This window comes from Homo sapiens, chromosome 15 (genome assembly GCF_000001405.40).
Source record: "Homo sapiens chromosome 15, GRCh38.p14 Primary Assembly".
Classification (NCBI taxonomy): Eukaryota; Metazoa; Chordata; class Mammalia; order Primates; family Hominidae; genus Homo; species Homo sapiens.
In genome coordinates this window covers 41,277,019-41,296,406 of record NC_000015.10, presented here as the reverse complement: position 1 = coordinate 41,296,406, position 19,388 = coordinate 41,277,019, and the positions used below count along the sequence as shown (strand labels likewise).

The following is a 19,388-nucleotide window of genomic DNA, read 5'->3' as shown; positions in this document are numbered from 1 at the left end:
GAGGCAGGAGAATCACTTGAACCTGGAGGCGGAGGTTGCAGTGAGCCAAGATTGTGCCACTGCTCACCAGCCTGGGTAACAAGAGTGAGACTGTCTGAAAATTTTTTTTAAAAAGTACATCAAGTTCATTGCTGCTAAATCTAAAAACTGTTAAATTTGCAAAAAGAAGTTAGACACAAAAGGGCAAATATTGTATAATTCCACTTACATCAGATACAACAGTCAAATTCATAGAGATTTAGAGTAGAGAGGTTACTAGGGCTGTGGGAGCGGAGATGGGGAGATTAATGAGTACTGAGTTTGTTTGAAATGATGAAAAAATTCTAGAGATAATGGTAATGCGTATACAACAATGTGGAATATACTTAATGCCAATAAACTGTACACTGTAAAATATTTAAGAGTTTTGTTATGTATGCTCTACAATAATAAATACATCACAGATGCCCGTCAAAGGCTTAAATAATTTTAGTTTACAAAAATGGCCAATAGCGATTCGCTAACTAGTCTTTCTAGCCCACTATTTTCAGTCTGTCATATACATTAAAAAATACCTCAACTGTAAATTGAACCTAAATAACCTCTTCTGGTTGAAGATAGGGTTCTTATTCAAAGCCTAGGAAAGCCAAACGTATATTAATCCAGAATCAAATCAGGAGGAAAAATAGTGCAGAATTTGCACTTGTTGCAAAAGCAGCATGGAAGAAGAAAAAGTAAAGATCCACAGGTACACCTTTAGAACCCTATGAGCAGCAGGGCTGCTTCATTACAGAGGCTGACTTGAAACCCAGGAGGTGGAGGTTGCAGTAAGCTAAGATAGCGCCATTGCCCTCCAGACCAGCAACAGAGCAAGACTCTGTCTCAAAAAAAAAAAAAAAAAAAAGTGTATGTAAAAAAAAATGCACACCTTGGCCGGGTGCGGTGGCTCACATCTGTAATCCCAGCACTTTGGGCGGCCAAGCTGGGAGGATCACGAGGTCAGGAGTTCGAGACCAACCTGGCCAACATGGTGAAACCCCTGTCTCTACTAAAAATACAAAAATTAGCCAGGTGAGGTGACGGGCGCCTGTAATCCCAGCTACTTGGGAGGCTGAGGCATGAGAATTGCTTGAAACTGGGAGCTGGAGGTTGCAGTGAGCCGAGATCAGGCCACCTGCACTCCACCTTGGGTGACAGAGCAAGACGCCGTCTGGATGGGGGAGGAAGCACACCTTGAACATATATAAACTTTGTCCCCCAATCTATATCTTAATATTAGGCAATAACACTAGCAAATCATAAGCTTATATTCTCTTCAGAATGCCCAATTTCATATCTCAGACATGACTATTCAATTTATACACTCTTACACACAGGTATATATGTGTATGTATCATTAACGGCAGGATGTAACTAACCCATTTGAGGATGGCTGTCTGGGCACAGTGGCTCACACCTATGATCCCAGCACTTTGGGAGGCTGAGGCGGGGAAAGACTGCTTGAGCTCACGAGTTCGAGACTAGCCTGGCAATATACTGACATTCTGTCTCTACAAAAACTGAAAAAATTAGCAAGTGCGGTGGCATGTGCCTGTAGTCCCGACTACCCAGGAGGCTGAAGTGGGAGAATCGCTTGAGCCCAGGAGGTGAAGTTGTAGTGAGCTGAAACTGTGCCACTACACTCCAGCCTGGGCGACAGTGAGACCCTGTCTCAAACAACAACAAAACTCAGAATGGCTGAATAAATAGCAGCTTAGTGTAAAAGCCAAAATTTATGACCTTCAGTTCCTCCTAAGATCTGCACCCTGATCTCTTCTGACCATAGCTTGATCATGGGCTCTAACCACAATGGACTCTGCTCTTTCTGAAACGTTAGGCATGCTCCTTACAGCCTTTGTAGTGGCTGTTCCCACACTGGGAAGACTCTTCCCCCAGGTATCTGCGTAACTAGTCCCCTTGCAGGTCTCTAAATATCATTTCTTCAATGAGGCCTACCTTGGGCCCCTATATAAACCTGTATCTTCCCCTCATCCTACACACAGATACTCTCCCAACACTGCCCTTTATCCTGCTCTACTTTTCCCTTTATCCACAGCACGTGACACTATCTAGGAATTTACAAGAGGTACTTATTTCATTTCTCACTTACTGTTTTGTCTAAAATGTAAGATCCACTGGAAGGATCCTGTTTTGTTCACTGATGAATTACAAGCACCCAGAATAGCATGTGACCCATGGTAAGCACTTGATGAAAATTTGTTGAATAGTTTGGGTGCCGTGGCTCACCCCTGTAATCCTAGCACTTTGGGAGGCCAAGGTGGGTGGATCACCCAAGGTCAGGAGTTCGAGACCAGTCTGGCCAACATGGCAAAACCCCATCTCTACTAAAAATACAAAAATTAGCCAGGCATGGTGGCATACGCCTGTAGTCCCAGTTATTTGGGAGGCTAAGGCAGGAGGACAACTTGAGTCCGAGGGGCAGACGTTGCAGTGAGACGAGATCGCACCACTGCATTCCAACCTGCGTGACAGAGCGAGACTTTATCTTAAAAAAAAAAATTAAAAATAAAAAAAATCTGTTGAATACATGAATAGTAGGGCTCTTAAATGCTTAGCCAACATGAACTAAAAATATAATTAGACACAATCTAGAAAACCTAGTTTTCTTTGAGATGGAGTCTCACTCTATCGCCTGGGCTAGAGTACAATGGCACAATCTCGACTCACTGCAACCTCTGCCTCCCAGGTTCAAGCGATTCTCCTGCCTCAGCCTCCCGAGTAGCTGGGATTACAGGTGCCTGCCACTATGCTAATTTTTTTTATTTTTAATTTTTTTTGTATTTTTAGTAGAGATAGGGTTTCAGGATGTTGACCAGGCTGGTCTCAAACTCCTGACCTTTTTTTTGTATTTTTAGTAGCGATAGGGTTTCACCATGTTGACCAGGCTGGTCTCGAACTCCTGACCTCGTGATTCACCCACCTCGGCCTCCCAAAGTGGTGGGGTTACAGGCGTGAGCTACCACAACCAGCTGCTGAAAATCTAGTTTTCTGGATTTATCAACTGCAACTATACAACGGATACACAAAACTTACAAATAAATTTCCCCTAAAGTTGGCCTCACATTAGGTACTTTCAAGTGGCTGAAGTTACTTACTTGCTTACTGGTGCTGATTATACAAAGTAACTTTCTACTAAAAAACCTGACTTATTGGGAGGATCGAAAAGGAGAACAGGCCGGGCACGGTGGCTCACGCCTGTAATCCCAGCACTTTAGGAGGCCAAGGCGGGTGGATCACCTGAGGTCAGGAGTTCGAGACCAGCCTGACCAACATGGAGAAACCCCCATCTCTACTAAAAATACAAAATTAGCCGGGCGTGGTGGTGCATGCCTGCAATCCCAGCTACTCGGGAGGCTGAAGCAGGAGAATCGCTTGAACCCGGGAGGCGGAGGTTGCAGTGAGCCAAGATTGTGCCATTGCACTCCAGCCTGGGCAACAAGAGCGAAACTCTGTCTCAAAAAAAGAAGAAAAAAAAAAAAATTTATGTGGACACCTTAGGTAAGCTAGCTTGTGAGCCAATGATTTTCTGTGCTATCCAGCCTCCAAAATAGCCACCAGTGATTGCTGCCTCCTGGTATTCAGGCCTTTTTACAGTCTCCTCCAACAATGAATCAGGGTTAATCTATGTGACTGTTGTATAATAAAGACTTTGACTGCCCTTTGTTCCTGGAAAGGATACTCTAAATCCTTAGAATTTGGAGTAAATAAGCCAGTGGAAATTAAATAATACACTCCTAAACGAGTCAAAAAATAAATCAAAAAGGAAATTACAAAGTACCTTGAGACAAATGAAAACTTAACAAAAACTTATGGGATGTGGTGAAAGCAATGCTAAGAGGGAAATTTATAGCTGTAAATGCTCACATCAAAATAGACCTCAGCCAGCAGTGGTGGCACATGCCTGTAGTCCCAGCTGCTCAGGAGGCTAAGGTGGGAGAATCACTTGAGGCCAGGAGTGCGAGGCTGCAGTGTGCCATGATCACACCTGAGAAAAGCCACTGAACTCCAGCCTGGGTAACAGAGCAAGACCTTGTTTCTAAAAAGTTGGCCAGGCACAGTGTCTCACACCTGTAATCCCAGCACTTTGGGAGGCCAAGGCAATTGGATCACTTGAAGTCAGGAGTTTGAGACCAACCTGATCAACATGGGGAAAACCCACCTCTACTAAAAATACAAAAATTATCTGGGCATGGTGGCGCATACCTGTAATTCCAGCTACTCGGGAGGCTGAGGCAGGAGAATTGCTTGAACCCGGGAGGCAGAGGTTGCAGTGATCTGAGATTGTGCCACTGCACTCTGGCCTGAGCAACAGAGTGAAACTCCGTCTCAAAAAAAAAGTAAAAAGACCTCAAATCAACCAACCTAACTTTAAAGGAACTAAAAACAATAAGAAAACCAACGAAATCAAAAGCTGGTTCTAAGAGGGTCATGGGACTCTCCAAATCTGTAGCCACTTGGTCGAAAATGCAGGTGGCTGGGGGTACCTCCGAAGTACAGCTGGCATCTGAAGTGAGGACAGTCTTGTTGAGGACCATGCCCTTTGACCTGTGAGGTCTATGCTAATTCTTGGGTGGTGTCAGAAATGTATTGCCATGGCCAGGCTCAGTGGCTCATGCCTGTAATCCCAGCACTTTGGGAGGCCAAGACGGGCAGATCACGAGGTCAGGAGGTCGAGACCATCCCAGCTAACACCGTGAAACCCTGTCTCTACTAAAAATACAAAAAATTAGCTGGGCGTGGTGGCAGACGCCTGTAGTCCCAGCTACCTGGGAGGGTGAGGCAGGAGAATGATGTGAACCCAGGAGGCAGAGCTTGCAAGTGAGATTGCGCCACTGCACTCCAGCCTGGGGAACAAAGCGAGACTACGTGTCAAAAAAAAAAAAAAAAGAAATGTATTGCCATGTACCACTTGATGTCAGAATACTGACCAACAGAACAAGGAGGAAGTGACAGTGAGTGACTTCTGCGGCAAAGTCATAGAGTAGACTATGGCTTTTGCCTTATTCTCTTAGATTGCTTGTTTAGGGAGAAGCCAGCCACCGTATAAGAGTACTCAGACAGCCCTGAAAGAGGCCTACATTGGGAGGAAATGAAACTTCCCCCTAAACAGCATGAATGTGCCAGCCATGTAAATGTGTCACCACAGAACTCCATCAGACTTCAAGCTTTTTTTTTTTTGAGACGGAGTCTTGCTCTGTTGCCCAGGCTGGAGTACAGTAGCGTGCCATCTCTGCTCACTGCAAGCTCCGCCTCCCAGGTTCATGCCATTCTCCTGCCTCAGCCTCCCCAGTAGCTGGGATTACAGGTGCCCAACACCACACCCGACTAATTTGTGTGTGTTTTTAGTAGAGACAGGGTTTCACCGTGTTAGCCAGGATGGTCTCGATCTCCTGACCTCGTGATCCGACTGCCTTGGCCTCCCAAAGTGCTGGGATTACAGGCATGAGCCACCGTGCCTAGCCAGATTTCAAGCTTTTAAGAGACCCTAAGCCAGAACCTCCCCAGAGCTAAGCTATTACCAAATTCTTGAGAGACGTAATACATATTTGTTGTTGTTTTAATCTACTGAGTTTTGGGTTATTTGTTATACAGCAATAACTAATATACTTTGCTTCCTCTAAGGACAGAGAGAATGATGTATCCCGGGAGTTAGTGCACCTTTTTTACTTCACTATGTAAATAGGGAATTTAGAATATATTTCACAAAACACAATGAATACTATTATCACTATCAATCAAATTAAGTTTATAAGTGTCATATTAAAAAAAAAACCTTCCTAGCTGGGCGTGGTGGCAGGCCTGTAATCCTAACTACTCAGGAGGATGAAGCAGGAGAATCACTTGAACCCCGGAGGCGGAGGTTGCAGCAAGCACCAATGTACTCTAGCCTGGGCAACAGAGTGAGACTCTGTCTCAAAAAAATAAATAATTAAAAAAAAAAAAAAACTTACCAGGCGCGGTGGCCCAAGCCTGTAATCCTAGCACTTTGGGAGGCTGAGGGGGGTGGATCACCTGAGGTCAGGAGTTGGAGACCAGCCTGGCCAACATGGCAAAACTCCATCTCTAATAAAAATACAAAAATTAGCTGGGTGTGGTGGCAGACACCTATAATCCCAGGTACAAGAGAGGCTGAGGCAGGAGAATAGCTTGAACCTGGGGGGTGGAAGTTGCAGCAAGCTGAGATTGTGCCACTTCACTCCAGCCAGGGCAAAAAACCAAAACAAACAAACAACAACAAAAAAACTTGCTGGGCTAGGTGCTCAATTTCTGCCCCCTAGATAGGGATATACTATATCGATGTAAAACTGTTGCTTGAGCAAAAATTTAAGTTGTCATTTATCAAATATTTATTCAGTGCTTCCTTTCTTTGAAAATTCTAAATTATTTATTTGAATAAATATATGCACGAGATAAGGTAAAATAGGGTAAACAGTGTTTCTTGCATATCCTTTTAGGAATATTCTATGGCTACAAAACATCTCTAGAGACATTTCCCACAAATGAAAGCACACTATATATTGTTCTGTACCTTGCTTTTTCTGTTAATGTATCTTAGAGATCATTCCATATCAGGACAAAGTACCAGTCTGTAAGTAAAGTACTACCTTTGATGTACTTTATTTACATCAGTTCTCTACACCATATATATATATATATATATATATATATATATATATATATATATATATATATATTTTTTTTTTTTTTCCCCCTGAGACAGTGTTGCTTTGTTGCCCAGGCAGTGGTGCAATCTCAGCTCACTGCAACCTCTATCTCCCAGGTTCAAGCAATTCTCCTGCCTCAGCCTCCAGAGTAGCTGAGACTACAGGCACTTACCACTATGCCCGACTAATTTTTGTATTTTTAGTAAAGACACAGTTTCACCATGTTGGCCAGGCTCATCTCTAACTCCTGACCTCAAAGAACCCACCCGCCTTGGCTTCCCAAAGTGCTGGGATTACAGGTGTGAGCTAACACACCCAGCCTACAGATGGATATTTAGATTACTATAAATATTGTGCTATACCAATGTCAAGTTTCTATTATTGTCTACTTGGACTTAAAGTTGTAAATCCAAGTGGTAAGGCCTTCTTCACTCTAAAGGGCATTTTGCCTCATCAGTTTTTATTCCCTTTCTTACTACTGATATATATATATCAATCATATATATCATATATACACACACATATATACATATACATACAAAGATTGTTTTATTTTTCAATGTTTTTATTGTGATAAAATACACATAAAATTCACCATATTAACCCTTTCGAGTATACAATTCAGTAGTATTAAGTACATTCATACTGCTGTGCAACCATCACCGTAATCCATCTCCAGGACTCATTTCTTCTTCCCAAACTGAAACCTTGTACACATTACACAGTAATTCCCTCTCGCTGCCCTTCCTGCAACCCCTGGCAACCATCATTCTACTTTCTGTCTCTATAATTCTGATGCTGCCCAAGCTGGGGTGCAGTGGCTATTCACAGGCACAATCAGCATACTGCAGCCTTGAACTTCAGGCCTCAAGCAATCCTACTACCTCAGTTTCCAGAGTAGCTGGGACTACATACAAGGTTTCAATCCTTGAAGCAGTTGTACACTGAATGGTTTTCATATAATTAATCAAGGTATAAGTAGGTGTTAATGGGTTGAACTGTGTCCTCCCAATATTCGTATGTTAAAAGTCCTAGCCCCTACTACCTCATACTGTGACCTTATTTGGTAATAGAGTCATTACAGATGTCAGCAGCTAAGATGAGGTCATTAACAGAGCAGGATGGACCCCAATCCAATATGACTAGTCTCCTTATATTAGGACTCAGATACACACACAGGAAGAACTTCATGTGAAGACTGGAGTTATGCTGCCACAAGTTAAGGAACCACAAGAAATTAGAAGGACTGGAAATTTTTTTTTCAGTGCCTTCAGAGGGACGGCCCTGCCAACACTTTGGTTTTAGACATCTGACCTTTATTTATAACTATCAAACAATTTCTGTTATTCTAAGCTACCCAATTTGTGGTGCTTTGTTACAGCAGGCCTAGGAAACTAAAACTAACACAGTAGGTATGAAGCCTATTTTGCAGATATAATGTCACTGTCAATTAAGAAAGGACACACTGGCCAGGCGCGGTGGCTCACACCTCCAATCTCAGCATTTTGGGAGGCTAAGGTGGGCGGATCACGAGGTCAGGAGTTCAAGACGAGCCTGCCCAATATGGTGAAACCCCATCTCTACTAAAAATACAAAAATTAGCTGGGCGTGGTGGCAGGTGCCTATAATGTCAGCTACTCAGGAGGCTGAGGCAGGAGAATCGCTTGAACCCGGGAGGCGGAGGTTGCAGTGAGCTGAGATTGCGCCATTGCACTTCAGCCTGGGCGACAAGAGCAAAACTCTGTCTCAAAAAAAAAATTAAATAAATATATTCCAAAATTTGCCTCGTTTAAGAGAAGAATGAATTATTATTAACTGTTCGCGGGAGTGTAGATCAGAACAGCCACTATGGAAAAACAGTATGGAAATTTTTTTTTGAGACGGAATCTCACTCTGTAGCCCAGGCTGGAGTGCAGTGGCGCGATCTTGGCTCATGGCAACCTCCGCCTCCCAGGTTCAAGCGATACTCCTGCCACAGCCTCCTGAGTAGCCAGGATTACAGGCATGAGCCACCGCGCCCAGCTGGGAGGTTTCTAAAGAAATTAAAAATGGAACCACCACATAACCCAGCACTCCCTCTTCTGGGCATATAACCAAAAAACATGAAATCACTTCATAAAGATGTCTGCACTCCTATGTTCAGTGGAACATTATTCACAATAGCCAAGATACAGAAAAAACCTAACTGTCCATCATCAATGGATGAATGGATAAACTGTAGAAACTACAGTGCATATATATGATGGCATATGTTACTCAGCCCTAAAAAAGAATGAGATCTTGGCCAGGCGCAGTGGCATATGCCTGTAATCCCAGCACTTTGGGATTAAGTCAAGAGTTTGAGACCAGCCTGGCCAAAATGGTGAAATCCTGTCTCTACTAAAAAAATATAAAAATTAACCAGGCGTGGTGGCGCACACCTGTAATCCTGGCTACTTGGGAGGCAGAGGCAAAAGAATCGCTTGAATTAGGGAGGCAGAGGTTGCAGTGAGCTGAGATAGCACCACTGCACTCCAGCCTGAGTGCAGTGACAGAGCAAGTGCTAAGACAGCAAGACTGTCTCAAAAAAAAAAAAAAACAAAATATTTTGCCATTTGTCACAGCATAGATGAGTCAGGAGGACTGAAAGAAAAACATTGCACAATCTCATTTACATGTGAAATTTTTTTAAAAAATCAAATATACAGAGTTAGAGAACAAAACAGTGATGTGGGAGTTAGTAAAGGAAGAGATATAGGTCAGAGAATATAAAGGAACAGGTACGTAGGCTGAACAAGTCTAACGATCTAATGTACAACATGACAACTATAGGTAATAAAATTATACTGTAAACAGGATCCATGCTAAATGAGATTTTAGCTGTTGCCACAAAAACAAAATAGCTATGTGAGACAATGGATGTTAATTTACTTCACTGTAGAAACCTTTTTACTATCTATATGCATCCCAAAACATCATGTTGTATACCTGAAATATACACAAAATTTATTTAAATAAAACCACCCAGTAACATTTTTTTTTAATCGTTATTTTTGGGTGAGATGGAGTCTGTCTCTGTGGCCCAGGATGGAGCGCAGTGGCGCAATCTCGGCTCGCTGCAGCCTCCGCCTCCCAAGTTCAAGCAATTCTCCTGCCTCAGTCTCCCAAGTAGCTGGGATTACAGGCGCGTGCCACCACACCTGCTTAATTTTTGTATTTTTTGTAGAGATAGGGTTCCCCCATGTTGCCCAGGCTGGTCTCAAACTCCTGACCTCAAGTATCTGCCCACCTCGGCCTCCCAAACTGCTGGGATTACAGGCGTGAGCCACCGGGCCAGGCCTATTTTTTAATCATTTGATTTCCTTCAATCTAATTAAATATGTGTCTGTTTTCTTTAGACAGTGAAAATTATTGGTAGTTTGAGCAAATGATCAAGATTACTCCTTTTTATTTAATACATTTCTTTTGTTGAAAAATAAAAGATTTAACTTAAATTTCAATAGCTTACAGTCATTTTTCATGTTCGTCTTCTGCTGAAGCTAACGGCTTATTGTTCCACTTCTATGTACCTGTTTTCAAGCTACTTAAACAGTATTTGGAACGATTAGCCCACAATTACTTACTTGCCAAGTCCTGAGTTCAGAATTTTGTTTTTGAGATGAATATAAAAGCACCTAAAGGTCAAGGAAAATTTTCTTCCTGTGATAAGGAACCTAAAAAGAAAAAGAACATTAAGGATATGGCCCTCACTGGTGCTAGTAATTTTAGTATACAATATTACTCAAACAGACAAGCTATTGTTAAAAAAAAATCAATATCATAAACTATTCAAAAGGAACAGTAAGAAAGCAGTTACTCTCTACCTGCACTGGCATTAATTTTAAAAAGATGTCAAGTCTTGGAGCAGTGGTTCTCAAGCTTTTATGAAACAGTGTCCTCTTTGAGAATCTGATACTATGGACCTTCTTCTTCCCACAAAAATGTATAATTGTGCATAAAATTTCCAGTAGTTTATGGACCCCTACTTAAGACCTTTGTGTCAGGCCTCTGAGCCCAAGCCTGCACGTATATATCCAGATGGTCTGAAGCAACAGAAGAATCACAAAAGAAGTGAAAATGGCCAGTTCCTGCCTTGACTGATGACATTACCTTGTGAAATTCCATCTCCTGGCTCAGAAGCACCCCCACTGAGCACCTTGTGACCCCCACCCCTGCCCGCAAGAACACAACCCCCTTTGACTGTAATTTTCCACTACCTACCCAAATCCTATAAAACTGCCCACCCCTAACTCCCTTTGCTGACTCCTTTTTGGACTCAGCCCGCCTGCACCCAGGTGAAATAAATAGCTTTATTACTCACACAAAGCCTGTTTGGTGGTCTCTTCGCACGGACGCGCCTAACACTTTGCTTTAGTGTAGATGACCACTCCCCTCTATAAGGTAGGGAGGAAGAATGTTCGGTTAGTTCCTCTCCTCTGGCCGATATTTTTTTTCTTCTCCTGGATGAGACAAAGACAAAAAAACAAAAAATAAACTGACAGAGCGACAAAAAAGGTCTCATATAAAAGTCCTTCTGTATTATTTTTCAGCTCTAGCAAATCCAGGGCCAACAAAGAGCATACCCAAAAACATTCATTTGTCTAATGGTGTGTCCGTTGGAACTTAACTAATGTGCCAGTTTTAAACAGGCCACACCAATTCAGAAACCTAGTAACAGGAACTTTCCTAGAATCTTACCTGAGAGACCGGATGAGGGTAAGGTTACAACAATCCAAATTACCAAAAGAGACAACCCGTTCGGTTAAAGGAGAACAGAATACCAAATGCCTCAGTGTTGACACTGTGCAACCCCACCACTTTACACAAACTACGTTCTAATAACATTTCCCTATCATTCTGTCTCTATAAAAACAATATTGTACACTGAACTCCTGTACTTCTGGGTCGGAAACCAAAAACGGTGAATTCTATCAAGACCCTGGCATCAGCCAAAATTAATGCGCCATTAGAACGTTATCAGGACATCAGTGCCAGAACCGCTTACTCAGATCATAAAAGTTTGGGAGGTGGGAGTGGGAGCGGACGGCTTTAGTAAAAGTTGCACCAGGGTGTCCGCGATAAACACACCCGAATGCAATTCCCAAGGGAAACCTGTTACAAGTCTCAAGGTCAACGGGCTGGGGACACAAAATACTCAGAGCCACAACAGGCCTCAACTGATACCGCTGACGGGCAAAGAGGGGGAACGAAGTCCTAAGGCGAGGGGTATAAGTAAATCAATAAAACAAAGATATTCTTCGAAAAATAAATCGATGGCAGAAGCAGCGGCTGCCAGATACAGCCCCGTGTGGGTGCAAGCAGAAAGCACAAAGGTGGCTAAAGGCACGGCACTGGGAAGGACCGAGACGGGCTGAGGGGTGGGCCGTGCAACACACCCAGAAGGCGGGTGACGGCTGCCCTGGAGCCGCCGAGGTTGGAACCCCCGCCCAGCCGAGGCCGAGGCCGGCTGCCCGCAACTCGCAGGTTCCTGCGCGCTTCCGTACCCGGCCCGTCTGGGCCACGCCACCTCCTCGGCGCCTGCTCGTCCCACCGTCACTGGCCTTCTCGGCTCACCTCGCACGGTCCAACAGATGCACTCGGCCTCCCGGGGGCTGCTCGCCCCCGGCCCAGAGGCCAGTTTGCAGCGGCACGCCTTACTCCGCCATCTTCGCAGCTTCTCAAGGTGGCCAACCCTGCGGTGGGCCGTTCCCACAAGCCCCGCCCCCGCCGCTGGGGCTGAGTGTTTATTGGGCATCGTCTTGCTCGCGCGCGCTCTCCTTGCGTCGTAGGTTGGTTGGAATGCACGTCAATCAATAGCACTCGCCCCACTCTTTCGATCCGGATTGGGTCCCAGAATTGAGGTAACAGGGAGAAATGCTTTTGTAATTCAATTATTAAGAATGTAAAATTTCCGCCGTAGAAGCTGTACCACGTGGTAAGATAGTGTGGCTAGGCCGCGTGACTATTTTAAGCCACTGTTAGGTTAAACTGTAGTACTAATAATTTCATTCTCAGGCCCGAGGGTTTTTGTTTTGTTTTGTTTTTTGAGACAGAGTCTCTCACTGTCGCCCAAGCTGGAGTGCAGTGGCGCGATCTTGACTCACTGCAACCTCCGCCTCCCGGGTTTAAACGATTCTCCTGCCTCAGCCCCTCAAGTAGCTGGGACTACAGGCGCATGCCACCACACCCAGCTAATTTTTGTATTTTTAGTAGAGACGAGATTTCACTACGTTGGCCAGACTGGTGTCGAACTCCTGACCTCAGGTGATCCACCCGCCTCGGTCTCCCGAAGTGCTGGGATTACAGGCATGAGCCACCGCGCCCAGGCTTTTAATCCAGGGGTAGCACAACACCTAGGGAAAAAATTTAATGCTTCCAGTTTGTCTCTGTCTTTGACTCTTAAAGGGCCCAAACGTTGTCCGGCTGTTTACAGCTTTGGTCAATACAGGAGAGAAGGATTCGTCACTTTTCTGAAGGCCCTCCTGCATAGAGGAAACCTGCTGTAACTGGCAGTTTTGTTGTTTGCTACACCCAACTGTAGGGCATCCTTTCTTCTGCATCATTTCCCAGAGGGGCAGGTGTCAGGCCTCTGAGCCCAAGCTAAGCCATCATATCCCCTGTGACCTGCACGTATACATCCAGATGGCCTGAAGCAACTGAAGATCCACAAAGAAGTGAAAATAGCCTTAACTGATGACATTCACCATTGTGATTTGTTTCTGCCCCACCCTAACTGATCAATGTACTTTGTAATCTCCCCACCCTTAAGAAGGTTCTTTGTAATTCTCCCCACCCTTGAGAATGTACTTTGTGAGATCCACCCCCTGCCCACAAAACATTGCTCCTAACTCCACCGCCTATCCCAAAACCTGTAAGAACTAATGATAATCCACCACCCTTTGCTGAACTCTCTTTTCCGACTCATCCCACCTGCACCCAGGTGAAATAAACAGGCTTGTTGTTCACACAAAGCCTGTTTGGTGGTCTCTTCACACGGACACGTGACAGCAGGGAGGGTATACGTGGGGTGGCTCCTCTTCGGGGTTATGACAAGCGAGGCCCAGCGTAGGCAGTGTAGGTCCACTGTGCTTGCCAAACACCAAGAGGGCTGTCATCTGGGTGGATTCTTAGAAATGCAGATTCCTGGCCTGGCACGGTGGCTGTAATCCCAGCACTTTGGGAGGCTGAGGCGGGTGGATCAGCTGAGGTCAGGAGTTCAAGACCAGCCTGGCCAACATGGTGAAACCCCAATCTCTACCAAAAATACAAAAATTAGCCAGGTGTGGTGGCACGTGCCTGTAATCCCAGCTACTCAGGAGGCTGAGGCAGGAGAATTGCTTGAACCTGGGAGGCGGAGGTTGCAGTGAGCCAAGACTGTGCCATTACACTCCAGCCTGGGCAAGAGTGAGACTCCATCTCAAAAAAGAAATGCAAAGAAAAAGCCATGTAAAACCAGAGTATGTCACCGCTGAGGCTGCACATGAATGAGGAGGTGGGCAATTTAAGGAATGGACATATACTGGATTTTTAGGCTTTTTCTACATTTAAGGAGTCAGGGAGTCAAGAATAGAAATTGCGTCTTAGCTGGAATGAATGGGAAGTGGCCACGGCTGACAAAACCATGTCGAAGCCAAAAGTGCTGGCCCCTCGATGAATGTTTCCACTTCATATATCCAGGCAGCAGCAGAGTAGACTGCAGCTGACCGTACAGACATAAACTTGAGTAAGGGAGACACTGTGATTTCAAACTTGAAGGGACTAAGTTACATAAAATTCTTGTAAAATGGACAAAAGTTATTTTGTTTCAACCACAAGTATTTATTGATGGATCGAAGATACAATTTTAATGGAACAATAAGGCACAACCGTGGATTAAAACACTTTGCTATACAGCCAAAAGGGGGGAAAATCTATAACCTTAGGAACTTTATGCCAATCAAGAAGCCTCTAAAGTACCTCTCTAATAGATCAGTATCAGACATTCTTCCCTTTTACATAATTCCTATATTACATCACTTAATCATAAAATCTGACTGATACTTCATAAAGAATTCCTCATTCATTTATATTTGAGCCATCCAGCCTGGCTACTCCCCTGTTCTCCACCCTTTTCCATCACTTTGCAGTGGTATTTTTTAGCAATCTTCAATAGTTTTCCAAAGCAAGGAAACAAGCAAGCAAGCAATGAGTCAGAAAGTCAACCAAGGGCAGATGTGTGGCTAAATACACTCATAGAGACATACATTAGGATAGCAATAGCCTGATTCACTGAAGTCTAAACTAAGCTGACTTGGCAGAAAAGTTGCTGTGGCTCGCTCAAAGATCTGTAATGCCACCTTAGGTTGTGCTACTAGTGCCAGACCTCTTGTTTTTAAGGGATTAGCAGTGGTCTAAACAAGAAGCCAGGGAGCTAATGTAACCAGGCAGCTAATGACACAACAGTCAATGCTTTGGACATGTATTAGGAGCAGACTATGGCTTCCGTCATTAACATTTGCCAAGTGTAAAATTCATAAAGAATTTTGCGGCTGAGCACGGTGGCTCATGCCTGTAATCCCAGCACTTTGGGAGGCCGAGGCAGGAGGATCACCTGAGGTCAGGAGTTCAAGACCAACCTGGCCAACATGGTGAAACTCCCTCTCCACTAAAAATGCAAAAATTACCCAGGTATGGTGGCACACGTCTGTAATCCCAGCTACTTGGGAGGCTGAGGTGGGAGAATTGCTTGAACCCAGGAGGCAGAGGTTGCAGTGAGCCAAGATCACGCCACTGCACTCCAGCCTGGGTGACAGAGTGAGACTCCATCTCAAAAAAAAGAATTTTGTGCAAAACTTCAAGACACTAAGGAAACAATCTTTAAATATTTTGGACTGGGGCCAGGCGTGGTGGCTCACACCTGTAATCCCAGCACTTTGGGAGGCTGAGGCAGGCGGATCACGAGGTCAGGAGTTCGAGACCAGCCTGGCCAACATGGTGAAACCCTGTCTCCACTAAAAATACAAAAAATTAGCCGGGCATGGTGGTGCACACCTGTAATCCCAGCTACTTGGGAGGCTGAGGCAGGAGAATCACTTAAATCCAGGAGGCTGAGGTTGCAGTGAGCGATCGCACCACTGCACTCCAGCCTGGGTGACAGAGCAAGACTCTGTCTCAAAAAAAAAAAAAAAAAAAAAAAAAAATTTGGACTGGGATATTAGGCACTTCCGTAACACTAATATTTCTACTTGGAAATGTGAAGTGGAAAACATTCCAGTGCACATAACACTGAGGCATAAACCATGCTGCAAAGGTGTGAATGCATGAGGCTTTATAGGGTGCCCAGCCTCCTTATTAAATAAAAGCCATGAGAAAGTCCCTAGGCATATTGTCAGAGCAGCCATTCTGGTGGTAACGGTGTCCCCAAACTAAGCAAACCTGTAAGCATACTGCTGCTTTTTCAACAGTCAACATTGCACTAACAAGAGGAGCCACACAGGTACAAAGTTGAGAATCAGAGGCCAGAGATAGAGTGATGTGGGCAAGCAACCTAGAAGACTTGGCTCCATACCTCTCACCAAGGCCACCTTTCAAAAAGGGTATCTCCACCCAGCAGCCTTTGATGACAGAGCAGAGTGCAGAGGATGGTCTCATACTTCTGAGAGAAGTATTGATTACCAAAAAGCTCCTGAAGAGGCAACATCCCAGAGGCCCATTTAATAATGAAGGTAAATAAAAACTGCCAGACCCCTGAACTATCCTGCCAAGTCAGAAATACATATATAGGACATAGCTTGTGGTGCCAAGTAGAACAGAGGAGATTTTGAGGCTTAATGAAAAGCAGAAAGACTGCCAGAGTAAGTGAACAGTATGTTGGAAGACAGGGAAGTAGGAAGCAAAGAACATATAAAAAGGATGAAGAAGCATGCTGGCAGACTCGCTGGAGGGAAGGCAGCAGGGCTACAGTCTACATCTGGTGAAAGAGCTTTGCTGGCTTGTTCTTGGCATGATTGCCTCTCTCACTTTCTCAGACTGGATGGATGTGTGGCATTCAGCAGCAGAATGGGGAAGATGATATTTATAAATGAAGAACTAGTGAATGGATACTGAACAGAAATATATAGGGTGTACCATTCTGTAATGCCCTGTTTATACACCAAAGGCAGGTTTGTGTTGACAGAACATATTTGGGGTTGTCATGCAACAGCAGTAGTACTTTGGGAGAAGGGGAATGAGGGGGTGGAGGTGGAGTTGGTAGAAGGAGGACTTTCAAGTTCCAGTTCTTAAATACTAGACCGCAAGGAACAGTTTGGTCTCCTTTAGTGAAGAAATCGGATGCTCATTTTCTGTTCTACATCCACCTTCTCCAAAACCTGGGGGAGAAAACCAGTAACAGTTACAAAGGTTATGAAGATTACAACACTCCCAAGCTCTTATCTGAGTAATGTTTTCCCCCCTTCCTCCTGTGCAGTAAAACGTAACTTTTTTTTTTTTTTTTGGAGGCAGAGTCTCACTCTGTTGCCAGGCTGGAGTGCAGTGGTGTGGTCTCGGCTCACTGCAACCTTGGCCTCCTGGGTTCAAGCGATTCTCCTGCCTCAGCCTCCCAAGTAGCTGGGATTACAGGCACGCGCCACCACGCCTGGCTAATTTTTGTATTTTTAGTACAGATGAGGTTTCACCATGTTAGCCAGGCTGGTCTTGAACTCCTGACCTCGTGATCCGCCCACCTTGGCCTCCTAAAGTGCTGGGATTACAGGCGTAAGCCACCGCGCCCAGCCACTAAAACGTAACTTTTTCAAACAAGAAGTAAGTGACCAACCTTAACAAATTCTGTGAAAGATATGGCACTGTCCCCATCCTGATCAGCCTCCTGAATGGTCCTGTCTGCGATGCTGCCCAGCTGCTCATCTGAGATATTTACTCCGACCATCATGCGTAGCACCTGGAAGACCAAGAGCCAGGAATTACAAGGGCCTTGGGAATCAGAGGGACTCTTTACTAAGATTAAAAATAAAGCTATCACCATCCTCCTTTTCCTTTGATGCCCTCAAATACAGTCATGCACTGCATAATAATGTTTTGGTTAATGACCGACTGCATATATAATGGTGGTGCTATAAGATTATAATACTGTATTTTGATGAGAACACATAGACACAAAAAGGGGAACCACAGACACTGGGGCCTACCAGAGGGTGGAGTAGGAGGTGAGAGAGAAACAGAAAAAATAACTACTGGGTACTAGGCTTAGTACATGGGTGGCGAAATAATCTGTACATCAAACCCCCATGACAAGAGTTTACCTACATAACTAACCTGCATATGTAGCCCTGAACCTAAAAGTTAAATTTTTTTTCCTTTTTTTTTTTTTTTTTTGAGACGGAGTCTCACTCTGTTGCCCAGGCTGGAGGGCAGTGGCACGATCTCAGCTCACTGCAAGCTCTGCCTCCCGGGTTCACGCCGTTCTCCTGCCTCAGCCTCCTGCGTAGCTAGGATTACAGGCGCCTGCCACCGTGCCCGGCTAGGCTAATTTTTTGTATTTTTAGTAGAGATGGGGTTTCAGCATGTTAGACAGGATGGTCTCGATCTCCTGACCTCGTGATCCGCTCACCTCGGCCTCCCAAAGTGCTGGGATTACAGGCATGAGCCACTGCGCCCGGCCAAAAAATTTGTTAAAAAAGATTACAATACCATATTTTTACTGTACCTTTTCCATGTTTAGATGTAAGTATTTGTTTTTGGGTTTTTTTTTTGAGACAGGGTCTCGCTCTGTTGCCCAAGCTGGAGTGCTGGGTTGCGAATGTGGCTCACTGCAGCCTCACCTCCGAAGCTCAAGTGATCCTCTCACCTCAGCCTCCCCCAAGGAACTGGTACTACACTACAGGTGTGTGCAACCATGCCTTTTTTTTTTTTTTTTCCTGAGGCGGAGTTTCACTCTTGTTGCCCAGGCTGGAGTGCAATGGCACGATCTCGGCTCACTGCAACCTCTGCCTCCCCAGTTCAAGCGATTCCCCTGCCTCGGCCTCCCGAGTAGCTGGGATTACAGGGATGTGACACCACACCCAGCTAATTTTTGTATTTTTAGTAGAGATGGGGTTTCGCCATGTTGGCCAGGCTGGTCTCGAACTCCTGACCTCATGATCTGCCCGCCTCCGCCTCCCAAAGTGCTGAGATTACAAGTGTGAGCCACTGCGCCCAGCCACTTGGCTAATTTTTCAAAATTTTTTTGTAGGAATGAGGTCTCACTGTGTTGCCCAGGCAGGCCTTCAACTCCTGGGCTCAAGCAATTCTCCCTCTGCCACCTCCCAAAGTGCCGAGATTATAGGCGTGAGCCACCATGCCCAGCCACAGATATGTTTAGATACACAAATACTTACCATTATGTTACAACTGCATATAGTAGTCAGAACAGTAACTTGCTGCACGGGTTTGTAGTCTAGGAACAATAGGCCACACCACATAGCCTAGGTGTGTAGTAGGCTATACCATCTAGGTTCATGTAGGTACATTCTATGATGTTCCTACAACTACAAAATTGCCTAACATTGCATATCTCAGAATGTATCCCCATCTTTACCATCATGTGACTAAGTAACAGCTAAAAGGCTGAAACCTTTATCTTCTCATCTAGGCAATGATGTAAGCAGAACTTATCTAGGTGACTGGATAAGAAGACAAAGACTAAGGGAG

General features: G+C 44.7%; 1 protein-coding gene and 1 long non-coding RNA gene across 7 annotated transcripts in view, besides 2 other annotated features; both read right to left on the bottom strand.

The window, feature by feature from the left end:
* Positions 1–13,710, bottom strand: part of OIP5-AS1 (OIP5 antisense RNA 1) — a 30,642-nt gene extending 16,932 nt beyond the window's left edge. For 2 of the 4 annotated variants that reach the window (NR_152822.1, NR_026757.2), the window contains exons 1-3: positions 12,297–12,417; positions 11,044–11,182; positions 10,307–10,396 (exon numbers count right to left, since the gene is read on the bottom strand). This is a non-coding gene — a long non-coding RNA (OIP5 antisense RNA 1). Of the gene's footprint in view, positions 1–10,306; positions 10,397–11,043; positions 11,183–12,296; positions 12,418–13,688 lie in introns of those variants that run through there. The other 2 variants (NR_152821.1, NR_152820.1) reach the window with 1 other exon arrangement.
* Positions 10,557–11,296: an enhancer, noted in NCBI's record as "NANOG-H3K27ac hESC enhancer chr15:41577309-41578048 (GRCh37/hg19 assembly coordinates)". NCBI's record gives its function as "activates a minimal SCP1, AML or CMV promoter by ChIP-STARR-seq in naive and primed H9 embryonic stem cells {active_cell/tissue: H9 hESC(naive and primed)}" and the evidence as "EXISTENCE:reporter gene assay evidence [ECO:0000049][PMID:30033119]".
* Positions 12,781–13,522: an enhancer, noted in NCBI's record as "H3K27ac hESC enhancer chr15:41575083-41575824 (GRCh37/hg19 assembly coordinates)". NCBI's record gives its function as "activates a minimal SCP1, AML or CMV promoter by ChIP-STARR-seq in primed H9 embryonic stem cells {active_cell/tissue: H9 hESC(primed)}" and the evidence as "EXISTENCE:reporter gene assay evidence [ECO:0000049][PMID:30033119]".
* An 809-nt stretch (positions 13,711–14,519) lies between the features above and the next one.
* CHP1 (calcineurin like EF-hand protein 1) overlaps positions 14,520–19,388 on the bottom strand; it is a 50,620-nt gene continuing 45,751 nt past the window's right edge. For all 3 annotated transcript variants that reach the window (NM_007236.5, XM_047432125.1, XM_047432124.1), the window contains 2 exons: positions 17,518–17,640; positions 14,520–17,071 (listed from right to left, as the gene is read on the bottom strand). In NM_007236.5, the coding sequence (NP_009167.1) occupies positions 17,018–17,071; positions 17,518–17,640 (177 nt within the window). In that variant the 3' untranslated portion in view covers positions 14,520–17,017. The remainder of the gene's footprint in view (positions 17,072–17,517; positions 17,641–19,388) is intronic.